The sequence below is a fragment of the Homo sapiens genome, chromosome 20 (assembly GCF_000001405.40).
Source record: "Homo sapiens chromosome 20, GRCh38.p14 Primary Assembly".
Lineage (NCBI taxonomy): Eukaryota > Metazoa > Chordata > Mammalia > Primates > Hominidae > Homo > Homo sapiens.
Window position 1 is genome coordinate 9,340,034 of NC_000020.11, and position 15,382 is coordinate 9,355,415.

The 15,382-nt window shown below is 39.5% G+C and overlaps 1 protein-coding gene across 17 annotated transcripts in view; it reads left to right on the plus strand.

Annotated features, from left to right (window-relative positions):
- PLCB4 (phospholipase C beta 4) overlaps window positions 1–15,382 on the plus strand; it is a 412,131-nt gene that overhangs the window by 271,356 nt on the left and 125,393 nt on the right. The window lies entirely within an intron of this gene.

Consider the following 15,382-nt stretch of genomic DNA (forward strand, 5'->3'; position numbering starts at 1 on the left):
TGGGGAGGCATTTTGTCTTCTCATTAACCCTATAATTGGAAACTCAGTGTAGGTTGAATGAGAGAGGGTTCCAACAAGTGGAAACTCAGTGTAGGTTGAATTTCTAATATCATTAGAAATATTGAATTTTAGAGCTAACAGGAAATGTACAGGGAAGATCATTTGAGGACACTGAGATTACAAAACTTAACCATGAATCCAGGATAACTTATGGCAGAATTGAGTTCTGTTGACCCCTAAACCATCCAAGCTCCATTACCCTCACTCACAAAGTATGGTCCTCATTCCAGAAGTACAGACCCCTCCTGGGAGCTTGTTACACATTTGAGTCTCAGGCCCACCCAGATGTTCTGATCCTGAATCTTCATTTTTGACAAGATGCTCCAGGTGACTCGGATGTGTGGTGAAGTTTGAGAACTCCTGTTTTGTAGCTCTGGAGGCAGAAGTGGATGCTCGATGTCACATAAGAGTGTTTGGTTCTGTCCTTATTGTGGTGGTTTTATGCTATCGTTCAGGTCACCTCACTTTGGGAGAACAGATTTTGCAGTGCCTTCAAGTTCTTTTATTACTCTTCTGAGATCAACTCCTTCTCTAATTACCAATTCATATTACAAGAAACAGGATGATGCAGTATGAGCTCAAGTATTGGGGCTTTGGGGCCACATTGCCTGGGTTCAAATCCTTGCTCGTCCCCTTCCCAGCTATGTGAAGCAGATATACGCTGGACCTCTCTGTGCCTCATTTTCTTCATCTGTAAAATGGGAACAGTACTAGAATATCTGCTCTTAGGATGATTGTGAGGCTTACATGAGTTATGACGTGGGAAGCACTTTGTGTACTGCCTTTCTTATTGAAAGCCCTTAATATGTGTTAGCTATTAGGATGACAGAGGCCAAGAATTTTAGAGTTCGAAATGGACCTTAGGAAGGGCTTCTCACCTCATTTTTCAGATGAGAAAAATGAAGCTAGAGAGGTAAAGGAACTCTGAGACCACACAGCAAGCTGGGCCAGAGTCCAACCTAAAACCAGGTCTTCTCATGCCCTATATGCTGCACCCACTTTGCTCTGTGCCCTGAGCAAATACAGTCCTGGGGAGATGGCTCAAATCAGTAAATCCCATAATGTTTTTGCTTTCCATAATTTGGTTGCTGTTAGTCTTGGCCCATTCTAAGAACCACGTTCTGAAACATACCCTTGAGTAGATTATGGATGTGTACTGTTGGCCCTTGAACAATGTGGGGGTTAGAGCTACCATACCCCTGTGCAGTCGAAAATCCATGTATAACTTTTGACTCCCCCAAAACTTAATAGCCTACTGTTAACTGAAAGACTTATGATAATATTAACAGTCAATTCACATACTTTTTGTATGGTATATGTATTACCTATTGTATTCTTACAATAAAGTAAGCTAGAGAAAAAGCAAATGTTAATAAGAAAATCATAAGGAAGAAAAAATATATTATTCATGAATTGAAAGTGGATCATCATAAAAGTCTTTATCCTCATCATCCTCACGTTGAGTAAGCAGAGGAGGAAGAAGAGGAAGAGGTTGGTCTTGGTGTCTCAGGGGTGGCAGAGGTGGAGGAGGTGGAAGTGGAGTCAGGAGAGGCAGGCACATTGGTGTAACTTTTACTGAAAAAAAATCCATGTATAAGTGGGCCCACATAGTTCAAACCCATGTTGTTCCATGACCAGTGATATATGTTTGAGGGTTGGGGGTGGGGGGATGTATACTTCAAGGGAAGATTTGAAGGTTTTCTCCTAGTATTATTGCCATTGAAATTTAAGAGCAGCTAGCCAGTTAAGAACTAAAAAATAATTCTGTATTGGATTTTTTATTCAAACTCAATACTATTTGAGCCTGCTCTTACTGAAGAAACTAAGTGTTTCAGCTTCTGGGAACTATTACATCGAATTTCATTAATAGCATAATATATAAATAAATATAAATCTCATTGTCCAAACTGGACAGTGCATTGTCCTTTCGGTTGATTGACACTGGAGAAAATATTGAGTACATTTTTCCACCAAATATACCTGCATGTGGATACTCTTGCCCCCTTCCTTATCTCAAAACTTAAAATAACCATATTTACCACCTTCAGCATTGACAACATTTTCTCCATCACCACCGTTTTATTTCTATTCCTCTATATGTGTTTCTATTCCTAATAGAACACACAAGCCATCAAAGTGAAAGTCTTTATATGAAATACACATAGATATAATTACCTCAGTTCGAAATGATGGCAGGATACATAAATCAAATTGGGCCAATGAGAAATGTAGAGATTTCCCAGGGTACATGAAATAGTGTTTGTGACTCACTGAGTGGTTCTACTCAAACGTGAGTATAGCCTAGGAGCCTAGAATCAGGGGGCCATGAAATATACTAACAGCCCTCTTACTTAGCCCATGCAATGAGAAGGTGCATTTTTGGTCAGTTTATCACAAAAGTCAATTCGAGCAAGTAATCATTTTTTAAAATTAATTCATATATACCTTAAACACTGTAACTTAAGGCATATAAATGTTGTTCTATTGTTGACTAATCTTTTAATGTTAGGGACAAGCCTTTTCATTAATTGTGGATCTGTTGCGTGGCTTTTATGTTTTGGGGTTTTTTTTTTTTTTCCCCCTGTACTTTACTCTGAATGCCTCAGATAGCCAGTTTGGTTTCTTTAAGGTGGATCTGAGACTAAGGACACTCATTGGGCAGAGTGCAATGGAATGCAAAATCCTACAGTTCTGTGACTTTTTTCCCTAATCTTTTAGTTATCTTGTCTACATGGAATTTGAGAAAAATATTTTTGGCAACTTGCCTTTAAAGAAATCTTCCCAAAATATTCAGCTAGAGAAACAACAATGCCCTTTCTTTCCACAAGATCGTGTCATTGGTTTACGCAATTTTTATGACAACTGACAATAAATAGGTTTGAAAACAAAAGTAACCCATGGTAGACATGTAAGGTGAGAGTAAAAGAGTACAAAATATTGGAAAGTGGCTTGCTGGCTGGGAGAGTCCAGCACTCCCTGGGCAATCTGTGTATTTTGTTTGTCTTATAAACACCTGATGAGTCTTGGTCTGACAAGTGAAATGTAAGTTAAGTGAGTTTCTAGTACAGAACTTGCTTATGAGTATCCTATGAGATTCATGAGTCTTTTTTTTTTTAATTCCTAGGCTCTTATTACACTTAAGATCTGACCATTTGGAATAATTCACTTAACCCAACATTTAATCTAGGCAAAAGGGTAAACTTTGAACTTAGTGTCTTTTATACCAAGGACCATGTTCCATGTGGAGGAAGCTTTCCTGACTTTCAGCAAGCCATTTTCCCTTCTGTATTCTTCTACTTCTCAAAGAGGGTCTCTGATAGTTTTTTTTTCATATTCAAGTGGGTGCTTTAAGAGTCAATAAAATATTATCTGAAACCTGAGTTTCTCAGGGTTGAATTTTAAATAAATACAAAATACTTTCCAGTGCATATGACTCTGAAAATATGATTGTGCTTTTTTCAGTAAAAGATAACAGCATTGTTAAGAGACACCTTGGTAGCTCACCTTGTCTTTTCTTCAGCTTCTCTCTCTGCTTTGAGAGTAAATACGTTTGTGTTGCCACTCTTACCTATTTAGGAGATTTGTGCTCAGTTCTATATACCTTTCTCCTCTACCGGTAAGTCCCAAATCAAAGCTTTCAACTCTTCTCACCTGCTTCTCCCACAGTCATTTTCATCTCAACAAATGTGCTCTCAGTTGCAGAGACCATTCTCAGTTGCAGAGACCATGAACACCTTCCTCTTGTGTCCTATGTTAGTCTGTTCACAAATACTGTTTGCTCTACCCTCAGCAGGTATCCAGAATCCAGCTGCTCCTCACCAACGTCATCACGACACAGTGGCCCAGGCCAATGGTCCAGGCCAATATCATTTCTTCCCTATTGTGCCCCAAGAGGTATCTAACTGGTCTCTTTTCCTTAGCCTTGCCCATTTTGGTCTAGTCTAAAAACAGCAGCTGGAGGGATGTTTTTAAAATGTAATTCAGATCACATCACTCCACTGCTCAGAACCCTCCAAGGCCCTGCTAGATATCATCCCCACCTCCCTTCCCCTTTCTACCTTAATCTCTCTCTTTCCTCCTACGCATTTTCTTCCAGCCTCTGGGACTTGGCATTTGCTGTTCCTTCTGTCTGTATCGTGCTCTTTCCCAGTTACACACAGAGCTTTCTCCCCCACAGCCCTCACGTGTCTGCTGGAAAATTGTCTTAGCAGGAGCTCCCCATTTCACCAGCCTTCGGCACTTCCTCACTCCTTTTCCTGCTCTGTGTTTCTTCTTAGCACGACTTACTTACCATAATATCCATTTATTCATTTATTTTCTTCCTCTGTCTGCAGGACGGCACTGTTCTGTTCACTGCTGTATCTGCAACATCTAGAACTGTCAGTGCCCGACACTTAGTGAGTGCTCAATAAAAACCTATTCTATTGAGGTATTTATGTTGACTAAATGAATTCCAACCCAAGTGATAAAGGTGTATAAACCTTAATGTTGTGCAACTCAAGTTTGTACAGTTCAGTTGTTAGAACAGACAGGAAGATGATCCTTTGACAACAAGACTGAGAAAATGTGATTCAATGATAGTCTAAAGGAAAGACAGAACTCTGGGATCCCGTGTGTTATTTTTAGAGCCACATTTCAGGATGTAATAGCGCTGCTGCTAAGAATCCATGACGAGACTGGAGGTTTTGACCCTGGTGTCCTGGCCTCTTTCCAGTTTGGATCATTATGTCCTGCTTACCTAAATCCTTCCTGTCGTTACAGTTAGAGAATTTAGCTTTCATTTCCTCTCCTAAACAACTGCCTGTTAAAAAGAATTACTAACAAATTGCTGTCATATTTACCCCAAACCTAGTACACCTTTCGCTAATAGGCGAGTCTTATACATCATAAAGCTTAAAACAGTTAAGAATAAATGCAGCCTACTAAAAAAAAACAAAAACAAAAAATTTACCCAGTGTGATGGCAGATGCCTGTAATCCCAGCTACACCAGAGGCTGAGTCAGGAGAACTGCTTGAACCCAGGAGGTGGAGGTTGCAGTGAGCCGAGATTGCACCACTGCACTCCAGCCTGGGCGACAAGAGTGAAACTCCATCTCAAAAAAAGAATAAATACAGCCAAATGAAGGTATTTTCCCATTTTTTTCTAAACTGAAATAAAGCTCTTTTTTTTTTCCTGGAATCATTCTCATCTTTTTGCTCACTGTTTTACAAGGCACTATAGAAATAATTGAATATGAGCATTCTAATAAGTTAATTTCATTAGAAAAGCAACTTTAGTTCCTCTCATGTTTTCTTTTGTTTTTTCCTCGCTCAGAATACAACTAGCTTGGAAGGATTTTGGTGTCTAGCAAAGTTGAAGGCAGTTCAGATGTCTTTCATTAATAAGTTACAGCTGGCACTGCACAGCAAACTGAAATCACAGTCACTAGACGTAAGATGGAAATGCAGGCCTCATTCAACATCTCCATAAATAAATCTGTTATTCTATACCAAGTTGAATTTTCCTTTGATTACAAAAAATAAGCTGTTATTATGACGTTCAAAATGCAAATATTGGGATTGAGTTTAGACCAGACTGCTCATTATACTTTATGCAGGTTTGTAAATATTTGGCAAACTTCATAAATTATGCCTTGTAATCAAGTCATCAAATAAGCATGTAAATAACTACTATAGAAATTAAATTACAAAAATATTATGTATTCTTTTGTGTACAAAAAGATAAAGTCAGGTTATTTGTTACCAGTAATAAAATATTATTTTAACAAATTGGGCTGAAAGTCAAAATTGCTTTGCTAAACTTGAATTGTGTTGAGTGAAAGACTTACTGCAATGGTTCCAGAAGAAGGAATTTATTCTTTGTTTCACTAAAAAAAAAATTGATTCTCTATTTAAATTGAGTCCTCCTGGCTTTGCTAACATCCTGCAAAGCCTCCAAGCCCTGCAACCAGTTCCTCTACTGATATTTAACCACAGCATTACCCCAAGGGATCAGAGGCTTCAGCCTCGTCTGGGGACTTCTTAGAAAGGCTATTGCATTTCTTAAAATTCAGTTTTAATTATACTGTATAGGCCAGTGGCTCTCAATACCTGAGAACTTATTAGAGATGCAGATTCCCAGGCCCTGCCCCACCCTACTGAATCAGAAAGCTAGGATTTCAGCGGCCTTCCAAGTGATTCTTATGCACACTCAAGTTAGAGAATCACTGCTAAGCAGAAAAGCTCAATCACTAACATTTATATCCTGCTTTACTTGCAGAGGCCTTAAAGAACTTACATTAACTTAGTGGTCTGATGCCCAGGCTCAACTGAGCTGATGCCTGCTGAATACTAAAGCAGCTAAATTGTAAATCTGAACTGCCTATTGATCACCCAAACCCCAGTATACTAATTAATAAAAGCTTCTTCACCACATTGCTTCAACAGTTTTTGAGGCTCAAATGTGGGATGAGTGTGTAGGTCTCTGTGTTAATTTTTGTTTTGTTTTGGGTTTCTTTAACGTTTCCAAGACTGAAAGTTGACATTTTCTTGTTAATTGTTTTTCTTGAAGCTCTTCTGAGTTCATTGGAAACAAATCAATGAGGGGGGGCATTAAGCTGTCCGGAGTGCAGAGCTGTGAATCAGAACAAATAATTGAGTGCATATTCTTAAGTTTAAATGTCCCATCCCACCTAAGAGTTTTCTTTTTGCCAAATAAGGATAATGGGTTTTATTGTTATTTCTATTGCTGGGTTGAGTTTACGGACCACCAGTCTCTGCCTTACATGGGCTGTGGTCATCAGAGAATCTGTGGAGCTGGTGAAATCAGTCTCCTGGGGCCTCCCATGACCACCTTTTTCCTCTGTGGCTCCTTCTTCCTTGCCTGCCAGTTCTCATTTGCTCTTGCAAGACCATCTCTCCTAGCAGCTGCTACCTCAGTGTCTCATCCGTGATGGCGCTCTCTGAACTCTGAATTATTTATTTGTGCATCACCAAAAGTGATAGTTCCTTTAGACCAGATTTTGTGAACTCAGATGCCTGTGGGAGCCAGGGAAATGATGTGAATAGCTGAAAACATGTCAGGCAAAGACAAATACGGGAGGGTGTGGACTTTAGCAAGTTGGAGTGCACATACGCTGTTGAGGGGGGCACTTTCACTTATTTCCAGCTAGTTTTCCAACTACCAAAACATGGGCCTGAGGTTTCTAGATTGTTTTCATGTCCATTTAATACTAACGTGGATTTTTTACATGAAATCTCTTGATATTAAAATGTTGGCAACTCATTTTTTAAACATTGTGCAAAATGACAAACATGTCTGTGGATCATTTAGAACCATAGCTATAGACATCAGGCACCATGTAGCATTAACACACTTGCACTAAAGTGAATGCTAATATTGACTTATTGTGTTCACCTTATTGGCATTTTAAATGAAAGATACCTGTTTGTTCCTTTATTTCTTCATTCAGCTATTCATCCAGGAATATTTTTTTGATGAAACCTGAACTTGGACAAATCATTTCAATTATATTAATCTTTTTAATCCTCATTTGTTAAAGAAAGGAATTGCACCATGTGTCCTTTGAAGTCACTTTCTCTTATAAGACTTAAGGAAGGACTGGCTGGGCATGGTGGCTCACACCTGTAATCCCAGCAGTTTGGGAGGCTGAGGCAGGTGGATCATGAGGTCAAGAGATCGAGACCATCCTGGCTAACATGGTGAAACCCTGTCTCTACTAAATACAAAAATTAGCCAGGCGTGGTGGCCCATGCCTGTAGTTCCAGCTACTCAGGAGACTGAGGCAGGAGAATCGCTTGAACCCAAGAGGTGGAGGTTGTAGTGAGCCAAGATCACGCCACTGCACTCCAGCGTGGCAACAGAGTGAGACTCCATCTCAAAAACAAAACAAACAAACAAAAAAACTTAAGGAAGCACTCTCTTTGCAAAATAAAGTGTACCAGGAGCCAAGGATGGTCCAGGTTAGTTGCTTTGACAGGACACTTGTGTACACATGGAAATCCCTAGATAAGCTTAACCTGGACTACATCATCATGACACCAGGAGTCAGCTACTAGGATAGGAGGCTTTGTGGTTGGAGAGGTGACAGAAGTCATTCTGGGTACTTCCTGTGGACATTAAAGGTTGAGAGATCCTGAGATAGAATGCAAGAAAATCAGTTGTTCTCGGCTTCAATCAGTTACACAAGAAGGAAAGATCTGAGAAACATTCAGTGTGGAATCCAGAGGTTTTGTTCCTGGGTAAAGTTAGAGAAGCTAAAATAGAGACCAGATTCTGATTCTGATTAACTGGGAGTACGATGATACAGCTAATCAGAAATTGAGGGTCTGGTTACTTTGGATCAGGGAGAAAAAGGAACAATGAATTTGTTTAAATTTTTTTCTCTGAGGAACCTGTTAGTTGCATGACCTGCTATGGGTGATGCAATAGGACAGAGATCATATACTACTTAGGATCCTTAGGGGCTTGTCCATGGGGCGAGCTCTGTTCTGTCTCTGTGGCACATCTCTAGGCCTCTGAAATCCTGAAAAGGTCTACGTTTGTTTGTTTGTTTGTTTGTTTTTGAAACTCCCTACTTTCATAAGGAATTAAGTGTGGATTTTTAGCTGGCATTTTTCTTAGTGCTGGACTTACTTAAAAGCTCCTGGTCAAAATGATTCTTCAGGAACATGCAGCTGAAGCTAGAGGATATTTGCTGTTGTTTTCGGGGAATTTTGTCACCTGTATCAGTGAAGTTATTTCTTTGGATGAGAGTATCAAAGATGAAAGAGGCCTCAAGCCTCCGCTTAGCTCCCAGGTTCTCTGCAGCTGCACTGACCATGTTGACAAGGTCATTTAAACATTTGCATGGACAGTGTGTTTTTATACTGTTGACTGGTATTTCCTGAATGCTAAAGGAATGTTGCTCATGATAGAGGATGTAGTTGCATGACATTCTATGCAGAAAGTACAGGATAGTAAAAAAAAAAAAAGAAAAGAAAAGAAAAAGAAACTAAAAATCCCCTAGAGTGTATTTCCCCTTCTGTGTCTTTTCTTAATTCAAGTGAAATTTATGTAACATAAAATTAACCATTTTAAAGTGAACAATTCAGTGCCATTTAGTACATTCACCATGTTGAGCAAGCACCACTTCTACCTACTTTCAAAACATTTTCATCACCCTCAAAGGAAACTGCATGCCCAATAAGCGGGTTCCTCCCCATCCCCTCTCCCCACAGCGCTGATAACCACTCTAATGAGTCTTTTTATTCCCCACACACTTTCCTTTTTATATGCAGTTGGACTCATGCTGTTTAATATACTGCATTTTATTATATGAATTTTCCTGTTTAAATTAAAACTTTTTCTTAGGTTTCAATGTAACCGCAAATCCCCATGATCTGTGAGGTGGATTTTCATGGGCGCTCAGCTCTTGCTGTTTTAGAAATCATCCAGCCTCCTTCACAGTTGTGTTTGAAATGCTGTGCTCTTCATGGGGCACATGGTTTTCAGTGCTGGAGCCTTTCTCACCACTGCATTTCATGAACTTGACAGGTTTCATAAGAAGAGACTGTAGACCCAGCCCAGAGAAGCTCATTTTGTCCTAGTTGCAAGTGTTATCAAATGACTCCACCAAGGGAATGCAAAATGAATTACTCTAATTGCACTAGAAGCATAATGTGAAGTTTGTATTTCACCTTTTGGCCCCTGGGAGAGAAAAATGTCACTGACTTTAAATTGCTTTTCCATTTTCCACATAGCCCCAGTTTCCAGTGCCAGCAAAAAATTGCCATTGGAAACATAATGTATGCTGACATGGGCCTACATGTATTTGTATGTTTTCTCATCTGTGTGGCAAAATTAAAAACTGGATGGCATGAAGAAGTGGGCAGAATCCCTTGTATTACATGAGACTTTGTTGCCTCCAAGCTCTATGATCTGGAGCCAGTAATTTAATGATCATAATCTGGGGTCGGCAGGTGCAGGCCATGGGCTGAACACAACCCTTAGCCTAATTTTGTATGTCCTGTGAACTAAGAATGGCTTTTACATTTTTGAAGCGATGTTTAAAAAATAAATTTAAAAAAAAAACAGGAAAACTAGACAACATGGAACTATGTGTGCCCCTGAAGCCTAAAATATTTATTATCTGGCTCTTAATGGAAAAGATTTGCTGGTCTCTAATAATAATACTAATAATAGTAGCAGCAGCAGCAGGAAAATAGTTTATATTGTATGTCAGACACTGTTCAAAGTGCTTGATATGTATTATCTCATTTAACTCTCACAAGTCTGTGGGATAGGTATTATGATTATCCTCATTTTACAAATAAAGATGCCCAGAGAGGTTGAGTAACTTGACTTTTCAAGGCCATACGTCCAGTAAGTGGTGTTTTGAGCCCAGGCAGTGGCTCTCTCTAGTGCTCTAGATCCTGAATTCTACCACCACCCTGTGCTGCAATTCACAGTTGGCTTCTTTTTCTTTTTCTCTTTTTTTTTCTGAGGCAGAGTCTCACTCTGTCCCCCAAGGCTGTAATACAGTGGTGTGTTCTCAGCTCACCACAACCTCTGCCTCCCGGGTTCAAGTTATTCTTGTGCCTTGGCCTCCCAAGTACCTGGGATTACAGGTGCATGCCACCACGCCCAGCTAATTATTGTATTTTTAGTAGAGACCGGGTTTCACCATGTTGACCAGGCTGGTCTCAAACTCCTGGCCTCAAGTGATCCACCCACCTCGGCCTCCCAAAGTGTTGGGTTACAGGCGTGAGCCACCGTGCACAGCCAGTTGGCTGATTTAGCTTATCTGTATAAAAACTGGGGCAGGGAGTGGGGGGAACAGCCTCTTTCACCTGTAACACTGTGTGATGTTAATGTACTTTTTAGGCAAATGTTTTAAGATCATTATCTGTGGGAGCTATAGTCATACAGTAGTACTTCCCGAATTAGTGGCCTGAAAAAAGGATTCCTTAAAAAAGTCCACATATAAAGGGGGTTCTTTGGTCAGCTAAGCATGAGAAAGCCTTTAGACAGGTTTCTTTATGGTAGTGCTTTCAGAAGAAGTATTTCTTTTTTTTTTTTTTGGAGGAGCTGGGTCTCAGATATATTTGAGTCTTAGTGCTTTACTCTTTTTTTTTAAGTTTTAGGGTACATATGCACAACGTGCAGGTTAGTTACATATGTATACATGTGCCATGTTGGTGTGCTGCACCCATCAACAGAAGAAGTATTATTCTTATGTGGATCTCAGCAAGGAAGAAAGCTATTCAGCTGTTTCCTAAACTTTTTTTTTAATTTTTTGATGAGACACCATTAACATCTTTCAGAACCAGTGTGGCACTGAATAAAAGTCAGTAAATTATATCATAGAGGCATTATTCAGCTCAATATTTTTCTAGAAGTATCAAAACAATGATGTAATCTAAGGATTCATTTATTCATATTTACCATAAATATTCTATTTATTTTCCCTGTTTTTCCACTTCCACTTGTCTTCACTCCTCACTGTTTTCTGCTGTGTGTGGGGAGACTTTACCTTAAAAGACAGAGAACCAGGTAATGAAACTCAAGCCCACCGATTTAGATTCCTTTTAGTAGCTCTTATATTGAAAGTCCTATTTAGTTTATAGAATTACCTATAGATTTGATTTGCTTGAACTAAATTGGTGGATGCTGCCTAGTTAAGAGTTAGACAAAGGCTTCTTGATTGATTATATTGATCTCAGACTAAGCAGGTATGATTGTCATCAAGTTGAAATACTATTTACTTTGGCATGACTTAATTTGCCAACATTGTCAACAGGTACCTGTCAGGAAGAATGTGACCGATAAATACAGGCCATCAACTAAAGAAACAACTCTATGAACACCTTTTAATTCACCAGCTGTTTACTCATCCCATACCAACAGAATTTCACAAATTTGACTGAGTTGAGTCCAAAAGTAATGCTGTCAAAAAACTGATGGTTGCTGACTGGCTTAAGATGATGCTTTTGGTTTTCTCAACATTTTAAAATCCCTCCATTCTTCTAGAGCTTTCCATTTGGATGCCAAATAATGTTACATAAAATAAACCAAAAATCTTATTTTATTTTTGAAAGATTTCTGGGGATGTAGGAATGTAGTTGGTCTGTGGACTTTCAGGCACTAAAGAACATCATGTGTTGTATATCTAAATCAGAAGCACAAGTGAATATAGGCATTAATGTAAGTATACTCTATGTATACATTTTTCCCTCCTGATCTTTTGTGTCCATAACAGTATATTTATTGTAGTAGATATTTGGAAATAGATGCAGTTATTTGTGACAAGATTCTATAGATCCAATAGGACATTGCTACAGGGTATCTATTAATATATAGAATCAGGCTTAGGCAATGCAAAAATTGTGTCTAAGGAATGCTAACAAAGCCATTTGGTATGGAAGTTTGGGACTGCAGCTTCTGAACAGCACAGGTGTCCTCTTTTTTCTTGTGACTATTTAGAGGCTCTTTTTGACCTAACTGGCCAGTGTTGTCAAGATAACCAGCAAGGCTGATAGACTGTTTTGACTCTCTGGGAGTGACTAAATTAATTTTGTCTAGGAATGTATAAATATTATCCTCACCCATTCAATTATCTCTTTCAAACATAGCCACCCATACTCATAGATGGCAGCTTATTTCTTGCACAAATACTCATTCACCATGCTCTGAGGGTAATTTAAGAATCATATGATTTAATTTTGTCTAGGAATGTATAAATATTATCCTCACCCATTCAGTTCTATCTTTCAAATACAGCCTCCCATGCTAATAGATGGCAGCTTCTTTTTTGCTCACATACTCATTCAGCATGCTCTGAGGGTGATTTAAAAATCATATGACACTTAATATATTTCTTCTTTCACTTTCATCAATTTTACTCTGTAGCTTCAGACTGTCAAGAAAAAGAGGCCCCAGTTGCTCTCTTTTTCCCCCTTTCAATTCTTCTCTTTTAGAATTTGAAAACTTTATGAGGATTATTATTGACTTCCCAAGGGCTTTTGAAATTAATGTTGGGTTGTCTTTTTAATTTTTGTGGGGGCAAAAGTCCTGTTGCTTTTTAGCCACCAGTTTCAGAAGTAGGTTGCTGTCAGTCATTATCACAGGCTCACTGATGTAGCTTTCTATCCTGGGTTTATCAACTGGACTTGTGTAGGATGGCAGCTTAGCTCCTTTATTATGCAGGAAAGTCTTCACTGTCTTTTTTCTTGCACTCATCTTTCTTGCAGCAACAGTTCATGGTGAATTGCCCTCTTGTCCCATGGGCATGTGGGCGTTTCCAACACTGACATTGATATCTTGTGACACTAACACTTAGTACCTGCACTTGTCTGTCCTTGGTGGAGCCAGGAGAAATCAGCTGACATGAAAGAGAGAACTTGTTTAATTTTTACTTCTTAACATGATTTAGAAGTTGGTCTGTTATACAAACAAACATTAGTGGTTTTGTTCCTTTTTAATTTTAGGCTGGATTTAGTGTCCTAGATGAATACCTTTGAAAGATAAAATGTTCATTTGTCAAGTCCTGCCTGTACCATCAGCTTCTCCACTCTCCACCTCTGCCACTGGGGTTTTATAATTCCCAGGCCTCAGACCTGGACCAAATGCTGTGGGAATGGGGACTCAGGCTTTGGGAACGCTGGCCCTTAGCCTCTGGCTCCTCCTGCTGCTCTGCTGGCTCTGGCCTTGGTCCTTAGGTCTGGACTGGACAGTTGGTGGCCCAAGTCATGTTCTGATATACCCCAATTTTAAGAAGTAGACCTCTGTCTGGTTTCTGTACTGGCCCAAGTCATGTTCTGATCATGTACCCCAATTCTAAAAAGTAGACCTGTGTCTGGTTTCTGTACTGAATCATCTGGTAAGAGTTATCCCAAGAAGCCCAGATCTTCCAGACCAGAACTATCTCAAGCAGGAGGAGCTGTAACTTCCAACAGTCTTCCTCTGGGCCAGCTCCCTGCTGCCTGATGAGATCCTGGAAATCACCAGCTCCTGAATTTCCTGTGGCTGTGAAATATCCTCTTACCCAACCTCCCTGCAGCTGCCTGCATTGCTTTTATGTTGCCTGTAACTTTCTTTCAAATACTTCAACACATGCAGTGGGGTGTGTGTGAATTTTCATCCAAAACCAGGGAATGAGAATTTAAAATTTTAAATGCTCACCCTAAAGGTAGTTAGTTAGCGTTTGAAAAATTTGAATCAAAGCTTAAAGATCAATCATTATATATAAATTATAGCTCAATAAAATTAATTCAAAATAAAATAAAACAAGCCTACCCTCCAGTGGCCACCTACACACCCCCTTCAGTTAATTTTCTCTCTCATTAGCACCAGGTGCTCTGATACTAGCCTCCTGGAGTGGTTTCTACATGATAGACACCTGGAGGCTTGTTAAAATGCAGATTACTGGGCCCTGCCCCCAAGTTGCTGATTCTGTAGATTTGGGATAGGGCCTGAGAATGGGCACTTCCGGTAAATTCCTATGAGATGCTCAACCCGCTGATCAAGGGAACCACACTTGAGAACCTCTGGCATAATGCAGACTGGAACTACCTTTTCTTTGGTGGAGTTCTTCATGGTATTCAAGATATGCAATTTGTGTAGAAATAAGGTACAAGCCCTGGTATCCTTGTGAGCCTAGGGCACAGGAATCTGGCAAGCCCAAATGCCTGCCTGGTATCTGTTGGAAGCTTGTTAGAAATGCAGAATCTCAGTGCAGATGCCAGGCTTACTAAATCCAACTCTGTGGTTCACAAATGCCCCCAGGTGATCCAAATGCACATTAAAGTTTGAGAAACACCTGCCCAAACCAAATTTAGTTCACATCATCTAGTTCAATTGTCCTCAACTATAGGTTCACGTTAGAGTTACCTGCAGTGTTTAAAAAAGCAGATTGAAAGACAGCCCAAGTACATTCTAATTATTAGTTAGAATCTCTAGGGTGAGACCCAGGCTTCTGAAATGTCTTATAATTCCCCCAGGTGATTCTAATGTACCACAGGTGCTGGGAACTACCAGTCTAGTCTCTCTAAGTGCTATCCGCATAGTTCTTTTAACAGTGTACTAGCTGGAAATGTCTTCCCTTTAGCCTGCCCTCAAAGTTAAATACTGACAATTTAATGCCAACTAAACCTTCTCCTAATTCAAATGAAATGATTTCATTTGCCATGCTTTTTAAAATTTTTTTATTTTTTATATTTTGTATTATTATTATTATTATACTTCACGTTTTAGGGTACATGTGCACAATGTGCAGGTTAGTTACATATGTATACATGTACCATGCTGGTGTGCTGCACCCATTAACTCGTCATTTAGCATTAG